We start from the raw sequence: 16279 nt of genomic DNA on the forward strand, positions 1-16279 counted from the left end.
AGTTCCCCTGCACAGACTCTTTGCGTGCCGCCACGTAAGATGTGACTTTGCTCCTCATCTGCCTTCCACCATGATTGCGAGGCCTCCCAAGCCATGTGGAACTGAGTCCATTAAACCTCTTTCCTTTATAAATTACCCACCCTCGGGTATGCCTTTATTAGCAGCATGAGAACAGACTAATACAGGTAGGTTATCCTGGATTATCAGGGTGGGCCCACTGTAATCACATGAGTCCTTAAAAGCAGAAGAGTGGGTCAGAGAAAGTAAATGGAAGAAGAAGAGAGTCACAGTGTGAGGGGGACTCGACCCATCACTGCTGGCTTTGAAGATGTAGGAAGGGGACCTGAGCTAAGGAAGCCACAGCCTCGAAAGGTGCAGCCAGCAGGGAAACAGGGATCTCAGCCCCACAATCGCAAGAAGCTGGATTCTGCGTAAGATCCAAACGAGCAGGAATCAGAGCCCCGCCTAGAGACTCTGGGGGATGGCAGCCCTGTCAACACCTTGATTTTAGTCTGGTGAGATCCACAGTAGACTTCTGACCTACAGATCTGCAAGATAATACATTTATGTTGTATAAGTTTGCAGTAATTTGTTCCGGCAGAAATAGAAAACTGATCCAGCTATTACGGTAAACTCTTTTGTAGTCTGCTTCTTAACTTAGCAAAATATTAGGAACCGTTTTCCCACGTCACTAGCTCTTCTGAAACAGCGTTTTAAGTGGCCATGTAGAATTCACCGTTGAGGATGAGCCTGCATGGTCGTGTGATTCGGTGGCTCTCCCTTTTTGATTGTCATGAATAATGGCAGTGATTATTTTTCCACACGTATCGCACACAGCCTTGATTATTTCCATAGGAAGTGTTAGGTAATTGTGAATGGATCTTTTTCAATGAGTGTTTAATTAGCAGAATTTATCTCTCAACCATGCCTTCCTTCAGCGTGTGGAAGAGAGAAATCAGAGGGGCCTGAAGGGGACTCGAGGGGTTGTCCCTTCCGCAACCTTTGTTTCTTCAACTATTCAATGGGGCATTACTGCCTGCCTTGAAGAAATTTACATGTATTCATTAGATAACTTTATAAGAGTTCCTAGCTCTTAAAAGACACCCAATAAAGAAGAGGCAGCAGTGTGAAGTCTTATGTTGAAGAAAAACCTGCAGTCACAGGACCATCCTGCGGACGCTGCCTGAACCGTCTCGCAGCCCAGCAAAGTCCGAAGGCGTGTCTGAACTCGGCCACATTTGCGAACCTGCGACCACACGTATTTGCCACTACATGCGTCACAGACCCGCCTCTTCGAATGTTGCTTCCCTTCTGCTCACTGGCTTTCTCATTAAGGCCCAGGTTTTCACTTGATCCAGAGAGAGGTTTCAAGAACAGCGGACAGGCCACACCCTTCCATTCAGAACGGAGAGCCTGGCGTGGGATTTCCAAAACTCCGAGTAACTTTCCCAACTTCAATGTGTGGATTTGGGTCTATGTCGTACTACCTCAAAACGTCTCCAGTCTCTGGCTGTTTGTGACTTCCCAGGAGCTCATGAAAATAGATCAGAAATTGTAGAACATTAGACTGAGCCACTAATTTCTCAATGTATACTCAATGGGGTGGTTTACCTCACGCTTCAGGAATAATAATAACAAATCAATAACCCCATTTCATCCCAATGCGCTGGAAGCACCCCTTGCCACGCCCTCTCTTCAGGACGTCTCCACGACGCCACACGCCACGCCCTCTCTCCGGGACGCAGCAGCCTGCCCCTTCCATTTGGTAATGTCCTTGATATATGAAGTCTGCTAAATGTGCCCCGGCATCATCCAGCAGCAAGGCAGAAAAGAACGAAGAGAAAAAAGAAGAGAGAAAAGCTACCTAAAACACGAGGAGGAAGTACTGAAGGAAGCTGCCTCTAAAGACGGGGTGCCATGGTCCCAGCAGGCCTGACCCCTCCCTGCAGGGCTCCAGGGCTGGGTATCTTGGAGCAACGCTATCAGGGGGCCTTAGCTTCGGCCCTGGAGGGGAGAGGGTGCTTGGAGCTGAGGAAAAGTCGGTCCCAGCAGGCTGCAGACCATGCCTCCTGAGACCATGTGAAGCCCCCATCTTGCAGAAAGAATCCTCTCCAAGCTCCGGGAACTCAAGGGGGGCTTATAAGTAAAGAGAGTTGCTTGTCTGCAGCCTCCGGTGGGCAGCCGGGGGCTGCCCCTGTGAGCCTGCTCATGTGCCCCCCACCCGAAGCATTTCGTTTGCCCTCACAAGTGGGCCGGCCACACGTAGGCTGAGGGCTTCTCTGGGGCACTGGAAGATACAATGTTCACAAACTTTCACCCAAATTCAGTGGTGATGAGAGCTGTAGGGAACGTCCCAAAGCCCGGTCAGTGAGTGACCTTGCACTTGCAGCATCCAGGTGAAGGCAGGAAGTCACTGGGGTCTCCGATGGAGCACAGGAGCACTCTGCAGGCCTGGGCCAGCGTGGGTCGCATGGGATGGCAGAGGGGACACATGGACCCAACAAAAAGGCAGTCTCCAGTACAGCCTGTAAACTTGAATCTGCGGGAAATTCTAAGAATAAAAGTTAAGCACTCTAAGCTATGTATTTCATTCCGTGCGGGCCCACGTGACAGGTTATTCCCAGGCTTTTGATGGAGAGGTGTGATGCAAGCCCTTGGAAATGAGCCTTTACATCGTCCGCACAAACACAGTGAGGGAGGTGGAGAGGGTTCTGGAGGGAATACTGTGGGGCTCCCCAACTCTGTCCAGAGAGGGGCTGCCTCAGAACTATCCAGGCAATGCTTAAATGCATATTTCCAGGCCCAGCCCTGGAAGAGGTGAGTGGGCCCTGGGAATCAGAATTTTCTGGAAGTTCCCCAGACTTTAGCAGACCTCTGTGACATTGCCATGCTGCGTTTTCATTCTCAGCATCCTGAAGGGTGTGGATGTTGTCGTGGGCACATGGGAATGTCATCACCATTACCTTATAGTCGACCGTGACCTCCTGGGACTGAGCTGGGAGAGAAGGACCTCTGGAGTCTACCCTACCTCCTGGCCTGCCTTCCCCTACAGGGACTCCCCATGTGACTCCCTTGAGACTAAGAGGACCCTGTTGTGGACAGCCACATCTTGGGCTTCAGCCTGAAATTGCCCTAGGCTCTCTAAAACCCTCCAAAGCTACAGTCTTGGAGCACAGTGCGCTGTTTGTGTATGTGTGGGTTTCCAGGAAGAAGACGAAAAAGAAGGATGCGATCGTGGTGGACCCGTCCAGCAACCTGTACTACCGCTGGCTGACCGCCATCGCCCTGCCTGTCTTCTATAACTGGTATCTGCTTATTTGCAGGTAAGCGACAGGGGTGGAAGGTGCAGCGGAAAGGGGGAAACCAGGGCACCAGGCCCAGGAGCCAGAGCTCCACCTCTCCCTCGGGAGGCCTGAGGCCTGGACCCCTCACGGCCACCACTTAGTTATTGTGCCTCGGTTTCTCCTTTTAAAAATAGAAGGTTCCCCAAGAGGACCATCAGAGTGCTCTGAAGCATGGGTGGGGAATTGAGCTTCAGGTGGACAGCCAGGGTTTCGGCACTGTGGGGCCCCCTCAAGTGAGTTGTACGAGGAGGATGCAGGGGCGGTTGCTTCTCTTTGGAGGGATAAGTGGGTGGTTCTGAACATGCAGCAGGGTAGGGAGGCAGGGGCAAGCTGCTACTATTTTTTTCTTTTTTTTTTTGAGACAGAGTCTCACTCTGTCACCCAGGCTGGAGTTCAGTGGCGCGATCTCAGCTAACTGCAACCTCCACCTCCCGGGTTAAAGCGATTCTCCTGCCTCAGCCACCCGAGTAGCTGTGACTACATATATGAGCCACCACGCCTGGCTTTTATATATATATATGTATTTTTTTTTTAGTAGAGACAGTGTTTCACCATATTGGCTAGGCTGGTCTTGAACTCCTCACCTCAAATGATCTGCCCACCTTGGCCTCCCAAAGTGCTGGGATTCCAGGTGTGAGCCACTGCTCCCGGCCTCTACTACTCTTCTAATAAGCAGAAGAGGGATTGAGGGCCTCTCCTAGGAAACCTGTTTGTGAATGCAGGGACGAGATACTGCTCCTCTTAGGGGAAGCCAGGGGCCTGGGCTTTTCTGAGCAGGCCTCCAGGGTGGGGCCACCAGAGGGAACGTTCCTGAGCACGCTGTCCACCAAGGATGCAGGACAAGCTGCTGCTTGTGGGGGCTGGCGGGGACTTTGGGGCATTTCTGAGGAAGCCTGCAGGCTGCAAGCTGCAGGACAAGGAGGAGGGATGACCTGCTGCTCTCTCTAGGTAAGCATGGGGTTTGGGGGCCCTTCCCAGCAGGCCTGCTCCAGGACACCAATGCAGGGTACACTGTTGGTCTTCTGAGGGTACACGGGAGGGCTTAGGGGACTTCCCAAGCAAGTGTGCAGGACAGGTGTGCAAAGGCAGGTCTCTTCTGAGATGTGTGGGACTGGGATGCATGCGAGAGGAGACGATGCCTCTGGGGCTCTCCGGAGCCAGTATGCAAAATGAGGATGCAGAGGCAAGTCCTGCCTGTCCTTCTGAGAGTAGGCAGTAGGCTTTGGGGCACTCCTGAGCAAGCCTGCAAGACAGAGAGCCACTGCTCTGAGAGGCTAGTTGATGAGTTTTGGGGCATTCCAGATTATGCCGCACGTCAGGGATGCCATCCACATGGAAGCAGAGGCTTTCGATTATTCGAGCATAGGCTGATCTCCTGCTCTTCGGAGGGATTGCGGGGCAGGTGAAAACTGGAAGAACTTGGAGCCTGTCCCAGCGAGCAGACAGGATGGGGTGCTTGGGCAAGCTGCTGCTCTCTGGTGCACGCGGGCTCTGGGGAGGCAGGGCTGGGCACTGTTCTCCTTCAGGTGGGCAGGAGGCTTTGGGGCGCTGAGCAAGCAGCAGGTGGGCGGCAGGGGCAGGCTGCTGTGCCCGTGAGGATAGGAGGAGAGCTGGGGGTGCTGCCTGTGTGGGAAACAGCAGAAAGATGGAGAAGGTAGAAAATATTTACTGTCTGTTCCATTGTTAATCTCTCGGAAATTCTCCTATTTTTGTTGAACTTTGACCCCAGAAAGGGCAGGTCTTTAGCCCCTTTACCTGACTCTGCCAGTGTGGCCTGGAAAACGGTACCTCCTGGGATCTTGTAGCTCTCTGCTGAGAGGCAATGGGGCCGCTCTTTGGGGTCAATCCCAGCTCTTCTCAGGAGTTCTGTGACTGTGGGACAGAAAAGCTTCTCAGAGACATCTCATCAGAAGCGGGGGTGATTACACTGAGGTAGTGACACCGCAGGCAGGGCCATTCCCATATTACATGATCCAGCGTCTTCCACACAGAGCCCGTGCCCACAGGTGGGTGGTCCACGCTCCAGAAACACACGCACAGCCATCCATCTCCCACATGGCTTCTTTAGGGCCTGTTTCGATGAGCTGCAGTCCGAGTACCTGATGCTGTGGCTGGTCCTGGACTACTCGGCAGATGTCCTGTATGTCTTGGATGTGCTTGTACGAGCTCGGACAGGTGAGTGTGCCCCAGGCCTGGGGAGGGGACCATGGCCCCCACGGGAGTGTTCCGGGAGACCCAGCATGGTGGATGGGACATTACCTACCCTTGACCATGAGAGGCCAGGCAGGTCTGGGGACCTCCGACAGTGAGGGTAGGTGGTGCGGCCTCAAGCCCTTCTACACGGAACCCTTGGACAGGACGCTGAGCAGGGGCCAGGACACCTAAGCTCTGGGCTCTGCTCTTCCAACAAGCTGTATGACCTTGAGCAAGTCAGGCTGTCTCTCTGGGCCTTGTTCTTGTCACCTCTGAGATAAGCAGGCCAGGCCAGGTGCAGTGGCTCACATCTGTAATCCTAGGACTTTGGGAGGCCAAGGTGGACAGATTACTGGAGGTCAGGAGTTCGAGACCAGCCTGGCCAACATGGTGAAACCCCATCTCTACTAAAAATACAAAAATTAGCTGGGCCCACTGGCATGTGCCTGTAATCCCAGCTACTTGAGAGGCTGAGGCAGGAGAATCGCTTGAACCCCGGGAGGTGGAGGTTGCAGTGAGTGGAGATCATGCCACTTCACTCCAACCTGGGTGACATAGCAACATTCTGTCTCAAAAAAAGAAAAAAAAAAGAAAAGAAAAGAAAAGAAAAAAAAAGAAAAGAAGTAAGCAGGCCGGACTGCAATCTCGAAGGACCCCTCCAGCTCTCACTACTCGACACTGGGGTAAGCAGGAAGGAGAGCTCAGTCAATCTTGGAGTTTCTCTTCTTGGACAGTCAGCAGATACAGGACATGTTACTCCGTGGCTTTCAGAGGACTTTTAACATGTGGAGAATGAAAATCTGAAATAGGGCCCAGGTGAATGAGGACTTCCTTCGAATCATCTGTGGTTGGGGATGGGAAAGGATACTCACCCCTTCACATTTCTTAGGTGCTGAACTGTGTGCCCTTGGGACATCTTTTTCTAATCTGCACAAAGACATTGCCTAAGCTGGTAGAGGCCCTGTTTCCAAGATTTTTGAACTGAAAACTGTGCCAGGCCAGGCATGGGTGCAGGCACCTGTAATCCCAGCACTTTGGGAGGCCAAGACAGAAGGGTCATTTGAGGCAGGAGTTCCAGACTAGCCAGGGCAACATAGCAAGACCTTGTCTCTACAAAAAGAAAAAATTAGCTGGACGTGTTGGTGTGTGCCTCAGGAGGCTGAGGTGAGAGGATTGCTTGAGCCCAGGAGGTCAAGACTGTAGGGAGTCATGGCCTCGGTTTACAGAGCAAGACCTTGTCTCAAAAAAAAAAAATGATAAAATAATGCTATGCCATAGCTGTTGATGTAAACACCAGCAGATCACAGTAGCCGACCTCCGTGTGGCTCCACGTACAATACATTTCAAGTGCGTCTTGCTTCTTCATTAGAACCACTGCATGAGACAAGAAGCTCAGGTGTGATTACCTCCATCTTGCTGATTTAGAAACCAACATCAGAGACACCAAGTGACTTGTCCAAAGTCCACAGTCACTGCCCAGCCACACCAGACTGGTCCTCTGTTTGCTTCCACACTGGTGCCTAGCGTCATAACTTAGAAGACCTCAGATACACAGGCTGAGGCTTGCGTGGGTGGCCTAGCCAGCCCTGGTCACCTGCCCCGCTGCTGCAGTCATGTTAAACTCCACAGACACACGAGCTCTGTAAGTGGCCCATTGGGCTGATGGTCCCTGGTCTCAGCCCAGCTTCAGTGGGATGAGACACCCCGACTCAGTCATTAACCCTGCACCTTCTTGTGCTTGGGTAGTACCCTAAGCAACCAAGATTCAGCAGGAAGCTGGGAGAGAGGGAGGCACAGGAATCACACTCCAAGGAAAACATCATTAGAATTGAGAGAAGACATCTTAAAGAAGTGGGGAGGAGGCTGGAGGCACAGGAGGCTACATAATGATCAAGGCCCTCAGTAACGCATGTATAACAAATAATGCTAAGAAGAACTGGGGGCTGTGAAGTGGGGTGTTCTTTGTTGTGACAGCACACTAGATTTTCAGTTTGAGCAGAGTGAGACGTCCTACCCCAGTCTAGCCTCGGTGGCCTGGACCCGCAGCCCTAGCATCACCTGGAACTTGCTAGACTTGCCCCCAACTTCCGGGAGCCAACTCTGGGTTGCAGGCTGGCACTCTGTGTTTCGCACAGCCCTCAGGGAAATTCTGATGCTCACCGCAATTTTAAAAGGACTAATTATATTATTCTCTCTACTTTCGTGCATGTTTGAAAATGTAAAAAACAAAAAAGAATGCAGGTCATGGCCTCCTTAATTGATTTCACCCATCATAATGCCCCTGGCTCTAGGTGTCCAGCCCATCTCCAGACCAGTCAGATTCTTTGGGGGTGGGTCCCGAACTTCATATATTTTAAAAGCCCTTTGGGTAACAGTCACGTGCAACCAAGGAAAGCTGTGTTCCTGGAAGGTGTTTTCAAAAGGCAGGTTGTGCCCCATTGCTGACTGGTGAAATCAATTTGGGAGGCCATGGCCTGTGTTTTTTACATTTTTATTATTAATATTTTCAAATGTATGCAAAAGCAGAGAGAATAGTGTTATGAATCCCCATGTACCCTCACCCAGCTCCAGCTGTTATCAGCATTCTGCCCATCTTGTTTCATCTGTTCCTTTTCTTGTTTCATCCGCCCTTTTCTTGTTTGATTTTCCTGTTTTTGTTTTTGCTCTTTTGTTTCATCCACCCTTTTCTTGGCTGGCATAAGCAAACCCCAGGCAGTAAGCACTTTAGCATTTTGAATAGAAAATAGAATGTCTCAGGAAGTCAAACTCACTCTGCCAAAGGGAAGAGTTAGGCTTGGGAACTGAGTCATGCAAAAGCTGCCTTCCTTTTCTGCCCAGATAGCTGTAATTTCACATGCTTACTTTATCTTACGTAAAATGTAGTTTGCATAATTTACTTTTCCTCCACTCCCTTCTTTTCACATGTAGATTCACTGAGCGCTAATCAAAGCCTAGCAAGAATATAACCACTGGCCTCATTGCCTACCCACCCTTTCTTTTCTTTCTTCTCTCCTCTCCTGCCTGCTGCCTGCTCTGTCCCCTTTAAGTATTGACATCCTCAAAACCCTCTTTGGAAAAAGCACAGGCCACAGATCTTACTGTGACTTGTGTTTCTTTCTCCTAGGTGTACCTTCAACCTTGATAAAAATAAACCTCTAAATCAATTGAGATCTGCCTCCGTCACTTTTTTTTTTTCAAAGACTCAGAGTCTCACTCTGTTGCCCAGGCTGGAGTGTAGTGGTGCGATCTTGGCTCATTGCACCCTCCACCTCCTGGGTTCAAGTGGTTCTCGTGCCTCAGCTTCCTGAGTAGCTGGGATTACAGGGGTGCACCACCACATCTGGCTAATTTTTGTATTTTTAGTAGAGACAGGGTTTCACCATGTTGCCCAGGCTGGTCTCAAACCCTTGACCTCAGGTGATCCACCCGCCTCGGCCTCTCAAAGTACTGGGATTATAGGCATGAGCCACGGCACCCGGCCCTCTGTCACTTTTTGATTTACAACATGTATCTCTAATTTTAAAGGATCCTTTTTTAAAATATGTATATAATTTCCATTTATCTTTTAAAATTTAATAATCATTCTTTGTTATCATGTAATACCCAATTTATATTTAAATTTACTCAATCAACCTATGTTTTAAAAAAATTCAATAGAATAGATTAGAACCTCATAGAATAGAAAATATCAGAGTGCATTTCCTGTAGTAATGGTAAGTGTTGTTTTTGAAATCATTTCTATTATATATGTATCACTGCATACTGTGTAGCCGTGAGGTAAAATATGTTTCTTTGTACTATGGTCAAAAAAAGTCAGCCTCTGTGATGCCCAATGACCTCCATCTTCTTCTTTAGGTTTTCTCGAGCAAGGCTTAATGGTCAGTGATACCAACAGGCTGTGGCAGCATTACAAGACGACCACGCAGTTCAAGCTGGATGTGTTGTCCCTGGTCCCCACCGACCTGGCTTACTTAAAGGTGGGCACAAACTACCCAGAAGTGAGGTTCAACCGCCTACTGAAGTTTTCCCGGCTCTTTGAATTCTTTGACCGCACAGAGACAAGGACCAACTACCCCAATATGTTCAGGATTGGGAACTTGGTCTTGTACATTCTCATCATCATCCACTGGAATGCCTGCATCTACTTTGCCATTTCCAAGTTCATTGGTTTTGGGACAGACTCCTGGGTCTACCCAAACATCTCAATCCCAGAGCATGGGCGCCTCTCCAGGAAGTACATTTACAGTCTCTACTGGTCCACCTTGACCCTTACCACCATTGGTGAGACCCCACCCCCCGTGAAAGATGAGGAGTATCTCTTTGTGGTCGTAGACTTCTTGGTGGGTGTTCTGATTTTTGCCACCATTGTGGGCAATGTGGGCTCCATGATCTCGAATATGAATGCCTCACGGGCAGAGTTCCAGGCCAAGATTGATTCCATCAAGCAGTACATGCAGTTCCGCAAGGTCACCAAGGACTTGGAGACGCGGGTTATCCGGTGGTTTGACTACCTGTGGGCCAACAAGAAGACGGTGGATGAGAAGGAGGTGCTCAAGAGCCTCCCAGACAAGCTGAAGGCTGAGATCGCCATCAACGTGCACCTGGACACGCTGAAGAAGGTTCGCATCTTCCAGGACTGTGAGGCAGGGCTGCTGGTGGAGCTGGTGCTGAAGCTGCGACCCACTGTGTTCAGCCCTGGGGATTATATCTGCAAGAAGGGAGATATTGGGAAGGAGATGTACATCATCAACGAGGGCAAGCTGGCCGTGGTGGCTGATGATGGGGTCACCCAGTTCGTGGTCCTCAGCGATGGCAGCTACTTCGGGGAGATCAGCATTCTGAACATCAAGGGGAGCAAGTCGGGGAACCGCAGGACGGCCAACATCCGCAGCATTGGCTACTCAGACCTGTTCTGCCTCTCAAAGGACGATCTCATGGAGGCCCTCACCGAGTACCCCGAAGCCAAGAAGGCCCTGGAGGAGAAAGGACGGCAGATCCTGATGAAAGACAACCTGATCGATGAGGAGCTGGCCAGGGCGGGCGCGGACCCCAAGGACCTTGAGGAGAAAGTGGAGCAGCTGGGGTCCTCCCTGGACACCCTGCAGACCAGGTTTGCACGCCTCCTGGCTGAGTACAACGCCACCCAGATGAAGATGAAGCAGCGTCTCAGCCAACTGGAAAGCCAGGTGAAGGGTGGTGGGGACAAGCCCCTGGCTGATGGGGAAGTTCCCGGGGATGCTACAAAAACAGAGGACAAACAACAGTGAAAATGCAGCATCTGTCTCCTGCTTCACAGGGTCGACTGTCAGGGTGACCGTATGTGGCCGCAGCTGTGTGGCATGGAACTTGGTCAGGGTTGAATTCCAGCTCTACTCACCCTTTGAAAGCTGTGTGACTGCCTGAGAGAACCTGTTTCTTCACCTAAAAAATGGGACTTTTTGTCTCAGTCCCAGTGAAGTGCCAGGTTTGATTGTGAAGTCCGCATGAAACACTGCACCAGGCAGGGCTTTGCAAAGTGCAAGGTATCCCCAGTCCAAGTATATGAAAACGTGCACACAGGACTCTCATTACTTTTTTATGGAATCTGCAAGGTGTTTTTAGGCTTTTTAATCTGATTTTCTTATAAATGAAAGATTATTTAGTCACCTTTCTCCTGTCCAACTTCACCACCACCTGATAATGGGTATATAACAGGAAGCTGAAGGTACAACATAGTGACTAAAATTCAGACTTACACAAGACAGTTTGAGGCATATTTCTTAATCTGGTATCACCTCGTGTGTTCTTTGGGGCCCTAGAAACCCTGGCTTTTGGGAGTGCTATGGCAAGTAGAAGTTCTGCCGGATGGAAAGAGGCTGCCCCATTTGAGGTCATTTAAAATCTGTGAAGCAAATCCAGACTCCTTGCCGTTCAGCCACTGTGAAACCAGAATCTGCTTCACAGAAAAAAGCATCTCAGTTAGGAGAAGAGACATCCCCTCCTTCTCACTTGCCAAAGAGATTCAAAGACAGCCCCTATCCTCCATTCTTGAGTCAGGGCCCTAGGTGACCTATTCTAACTCAAGGAGGAGAGCTATGTACAGGGAGAGCATTTTAGATTGAAGGTTGGAATGGTGTACTAAACCAAAAAAGCTGACAACTGAGAGTTTTAGAAGATTAGACCATTAGGAACGTATCTTTGCAAACTGCCCATTCACCCATGAAGAGGAAGCCTCAAGATCCCTTGGAATTGCATCCCAAGGCAAAGCTTTTGGCTCACCGAAAGCTCACAGATTGCAGAAATTAGCTTTTTTAAAAAACAAACCCCAGTAAATATAATTTCATTAACATTTTATAACAGATTTATATTTTTGAGTTCCGTGATTGCAAATTATGACCTCAAATTCCATCCTTCACTTATGTAACATGTTGCAAATTACCCAAAGATGAGTCTTTCTTCTTTCTTTCCTTTTTCCTTTCTTCTTCCTTTCCTTTTTTCTTTCTTCTTCCTTCTTTCTTCCTTTTTCTCTCTCCTCTTTTCCTCCTCAAAATGTATATATTTTAAAAGCCTTAACTGTTAGTTATGCCTGCATTCATATTTGCACAGGAAAAATAAAGACCTGGATTTAAAAATAGGAATGACTCTTGCTTCAGCTCTTGCCATAAAGGAAGTTTCAGTCCCAGAGTATGTTTCTAGGGCAATGGCTTCCCTAGAAAGGATAGGTGCTGATGTGGGGGACGGCACACATTCCAAGAAAGTGACAAAGCCAAGTGCTGTTAAGGGCACAAACCAACAAGAACTCTCATTCATTGCTGGTGGGCATGCAATATTGCAATATGCAATATGGAAGACAATTTGGTAGTTTTTATAAAGTTAGGCATATGCTTTAGCATATGACCCAGCAATCACACCCTAGGTATTTACCTAAAAGAATTTGAAACTTATATGCACATAAAAACATGTATATAAATGTTGGTAGCAGCTTTATTCATTATTAACAAAAATCTGGAAGCAGTAATAATATCATTCAATAAGTGAATGGATAGATAAACAGTCAGGCGAGGTGGCGTGTGCCTATAATCCCAGCTACTAAGGAGGCTGAGAAGGGAAAATCATTTGAGTCCAACAGTTTGAGGACAGCCTAGGCAACATAGCAAGACCCTGTCTCTAAAAAAAAAAAAAAAAACGAAAGAAATAAAGAAAAAAGTAAAACAGTGGTATATTTATACAATCACCTATAATCAAATACTACTCAGGAATGAAAATGAATGAGCAATTGATCAAGGGAAAAAGATTCCATTTGTATGACATTCTGGAAAAGGCAAACAATAATGGTGGAAAACAGCTCAGCGGTTGCCAGGGGTTGTCAGGAGGTGTAGAGGCTGATTGCAAAGGAGATCACGGGGGAATTTTTAGTGTGATGGAACTGTTTTGCATGGTGTTGGGGTGGTGGGTATATGACTGTGCATTGTTCACTCTCACAGAACTGTATACCACAAAGAATAAACTGTAATGTATGAAATTTTAAAATATCAACCCGAATGTGGGCAATATAAGGATGGAAAGCAGATTGTGACAAATGAATCTAGCTATATTAGAAATATATGACATAACTTTACTGAAGGACATAGGGTAAAACAATGACCTAAGTAATGTTAAAAATGGTGCTTTGAGTAGAAACTAAGGCTAAAGATGAAAAGATGTGACATGAATACTGTACTCTAGTTGTAAATTTGTTTCACACGGGGATATGCGTTACTAATTCAGAATTACATTATACTATGGATGAATGCATGAATGAGGGAATAAATAAATAAATGTTTTAAAAAATGGAAGCCAGATTTATCATAGTCAGAAAAAGAAGTTACAAATAAGACCACACAAGATCAGAATGAACCCTGTGGTACTGGATTGAAATCAGACATTAGAATGAACTCACGTTTATTTATATATCCAGGTAGACAGATGCAGAAATGATTGTAGGTGTGTGTGTGTGTGTGTGTGTGTGTGTGTATGTATATATATGTTGGTATACATAGATATATTTCTAACTCTGTGTACCAAGAAGGCTTGGCAGTGATACCTATTACAAAGAGCACACCAAGCACCCAGATCTTGGTTTCCAAATATCTTTCTCCAATAAAAGGAACCAGGGCTGATTCTAGGGCTGAGACGGGGAAAATATACCATGAGCATGGAGTGTCTTGTAGTGCCGGAAAGTACTCAAAAAGCACAATGTTGGGGGGCAAGTGGCGATAGGGCTTTCTACATACACACACACACACACACACACACACACACACACACACACACAATGATGGAAGTAAATTAGAGGGACATAGCAACCAACCTGAAAGAGCTCCCAATGGCCAAAACTGAAGCCATTTGAAAAACAAAATTTTTAAATTTAGTATTAGACTATATCCCAAAGTATAAAAGTCCATGAGTCTATGCCATAAATGAATGATTGAATAAATAAATTAATGAGGGAGAAAGGACACATATTTTTTACAGAAGGATTCCAGATCATATATGTAGATTATTTGATACTTTCCACCCCAGGATGTAAAGCCTTATTGATGGATCTTGCACTCAGAACTGGAGCCAAGGATCCAGCAGCCTCTACACTGCCATGGGGGAACATAATGTCAATATCAACTGGTCATGTGAATGGGATTACAGTAAGGAGGTTGAGGTGGGAAAGTTATCCTGGATTTTCCAAGGGGACCTGATATAATCACAAGGATTCTGATAAGTGGGAGGCAGGAAGATCAGAGAGAGGAAGGCAATGTAACAATTAAAGAATATGTATTATTATTATGGTAGAAACTTCATTAAGATTTTTGAGATTCTGGAAAAATGGTGGTGGTGGCAGTGTAGTTTGTTGGGCTCTCTAAGTCCTCACATAAAACACAGCAAATAAGATAACAAATCTAAAGATCCACAGACAACATCTGACATCCCTGAGGATATGAAAACACCCAAATCACCAACAGGTGCTCACTAAAAAGCATGGAGAGCCTGTCTGAGAACAGCTGGAATTAAGGGAGATTCTGCAGGGATCAATTTGTGGGTGACAGCAAATTGACAATGATGCTGCAAGATTGATGTGCAGGGACACTCTCGGTGCTGCACACTCTGGATGTTCACAGAATAAAGCTTCTTTCTTTATTTGAGAAACATCTATTCAGATCCTTTGCCCATTTTTACATTGGGTTATTTGTTTGCTTGCTATTGAGTTGTTTGAGTTCCTTATATATTTTAGATATTAACCCTCATCAATGTATGGTTTGCAAATATTTTCTCTCATTCTGTAGGTTGTCTCTTCACTCTTGTTTGTTTCCTTGGCTGTGCAGAAGCTTTTTAGTTTAATGTAATCCTATTTGTCTATTTTTGCTTTTGTGGTCTGTGTTTTTGGGTTCACATCTTTAAAAATAATTTCCCAGATCAATGTCATGGAGGATTTACCCTATGTTTTCTTCTAGTATGAAAGAAGCTTCCTTCTAAGACAAAACCCCTCACTGAGAGACAATTTGGAGTAAAATCCAAATTGATCACAGGACAGAAACAGTAGTGACAAAGGAAAGAAAAAGTTTAGATAAAAGAGGGTAGAGAAGCAGAGGAGGTAGCACTACTTCATATATATTTTTATCACTTTGAGAAAACAGCCGAAGAGAGAATTAGAGAACTATGAAGTTAGAAAAAAGTAAATCATGCTCCATCTCTTCTCTCTAAAGTATAAGCACATTCAACTCACTTAGAAGACGAACAACAGAAAAGATGCACCCTCAAATTTCATGCAAAGTCTTTATTAAAAAGACAGCGAGGAAGAATCAGATGGAGTATAACATCTCTGCAGATAATGAAACCCACCAGAAAGACATGCCCACAGAACGGATGTAAACTGACTCATCATTTCAAAACCAGCCAAGAGAAATTAAGAGAATGATAGATGCTATTAAAAAAAAAACAGCATAAACCAGAATCAAGGATGAGGTGATTGAGGAAAAGGAAGATTTGACAAGAGCTGTAACAGAACTCAGAAAAGTACTAGAAATAAAAGAACAAAAAAAATTTTAAAAACTGAATTAAAAGGAACACAAGAGCAAATAAACATAGTAAGCAATGTTTTAAGAGAAATCAAAGATGGAAAGGAAAAATGTCTTAAAAATCAAAAAAGATATTCCGAATATGACATTTGGGAAAGGACAAAATTGTGGCAAAAGTAAAAAAAAAAAATTAGTGTTTGCCAGGGGTTGGGGGAGTAGAAGCATAAACAGGTGGAGTGCAGAGAGTTTCAGGGCACTGAAAATACTCTGTATGATACTGTAGTGGTAAATACATGTTGTTATACCTTTGTGAAAACCCACAGAATGTTCAACACCAAGAGTGGACACCAATGTAAACTATGGACTTCAAGAGAAAAATTGTCAGTGTAGGTTCATCTGTCACAGCAAATGCACCTTTGATACCACTTTCAAAAATATGAAGTATGTTGCAGGTATATGGGAATTTTGCTGTGAACCTAAAACTGCTCCCAAAATGCTTTTTTTTAATCAAAAAGAAATGAAAAAGATAAAAAGAATTTGTGAGAAAAGTGATGGAGAATAAACAACAAAGATCTAGCATGTTAATAAGAATCCCAAACAAGTACCAAAGCACAGGAATAGAGCACAACACTAAAACTTATCATTTAAGAAAAGTTCCTGAAATAAAAATTAGCTTGAACTAGATATTGAAGACACATTCTGCATTCTGGGAAA

General features: G+C 46.3%; 1 protein-coding gene across 5 annotated transcripts in view, besides 1 other annotated feature; it reads left to right on the forward strand.

The window, feature by feature from the left end:
• CNGA3 (cyclic nucleotide gated channel subunit alpha 3) overlaps positions 1-12150 on the forward strand; it is a 52146-nt gene extending 39996 nt beyond the window's left edge. For all 5 annotated transcript variants that reach the window (XM_011510554.3, XM_047443222.1, XM_006712243.3 and 2 more), the window contains 3 exons: positions 3207-3323; positions 5413-5519; positions 9393-12150. In XM_011510554.3, coding sequence (XP_011508856.1) covers positions 3207-3323; positions 5413-5519; positions 9393-10804 — 1636 coding nt within the window. In that variant the 3' untranslated portion in view covers positions 10805-12150. The remainder of the gene's footprint in view (positions 1-3206; positions 3324-5412; positions 5520-9392) is intronic.
• Positions 1647-1834: a silencer, noted in NCBI's record as "fragment chr2:99004561-99004748 (GRCh37/hg19 assembly coordinates)". NCBI's record gives its function as "represses an EF-1alpha promoter that drives an FKBP-Casp9 reporter gene in an ReSE screen in HepG2 liver carcinoma cells and K562 erythroleukemia cells {active_cell/tissue: HepG2 | K562}" and the evidence as "EXISTENCE:reporter gene assay evidence [ECO:0000049][PMID:32094911]".

This window comes from Homo sapiens, chromosome 2, assembly GCF_000001405.40.
Source record: "Homo sapiens chromosome 2, GRCh38.p14 Primary Assembly".
Classification (NCBI taxonomy): domain Eukaryota; kingdom Metazoa; phylum Chordata; class Mammalia; order Primates; family Hominidae; genus Homo; species Homo sapiens.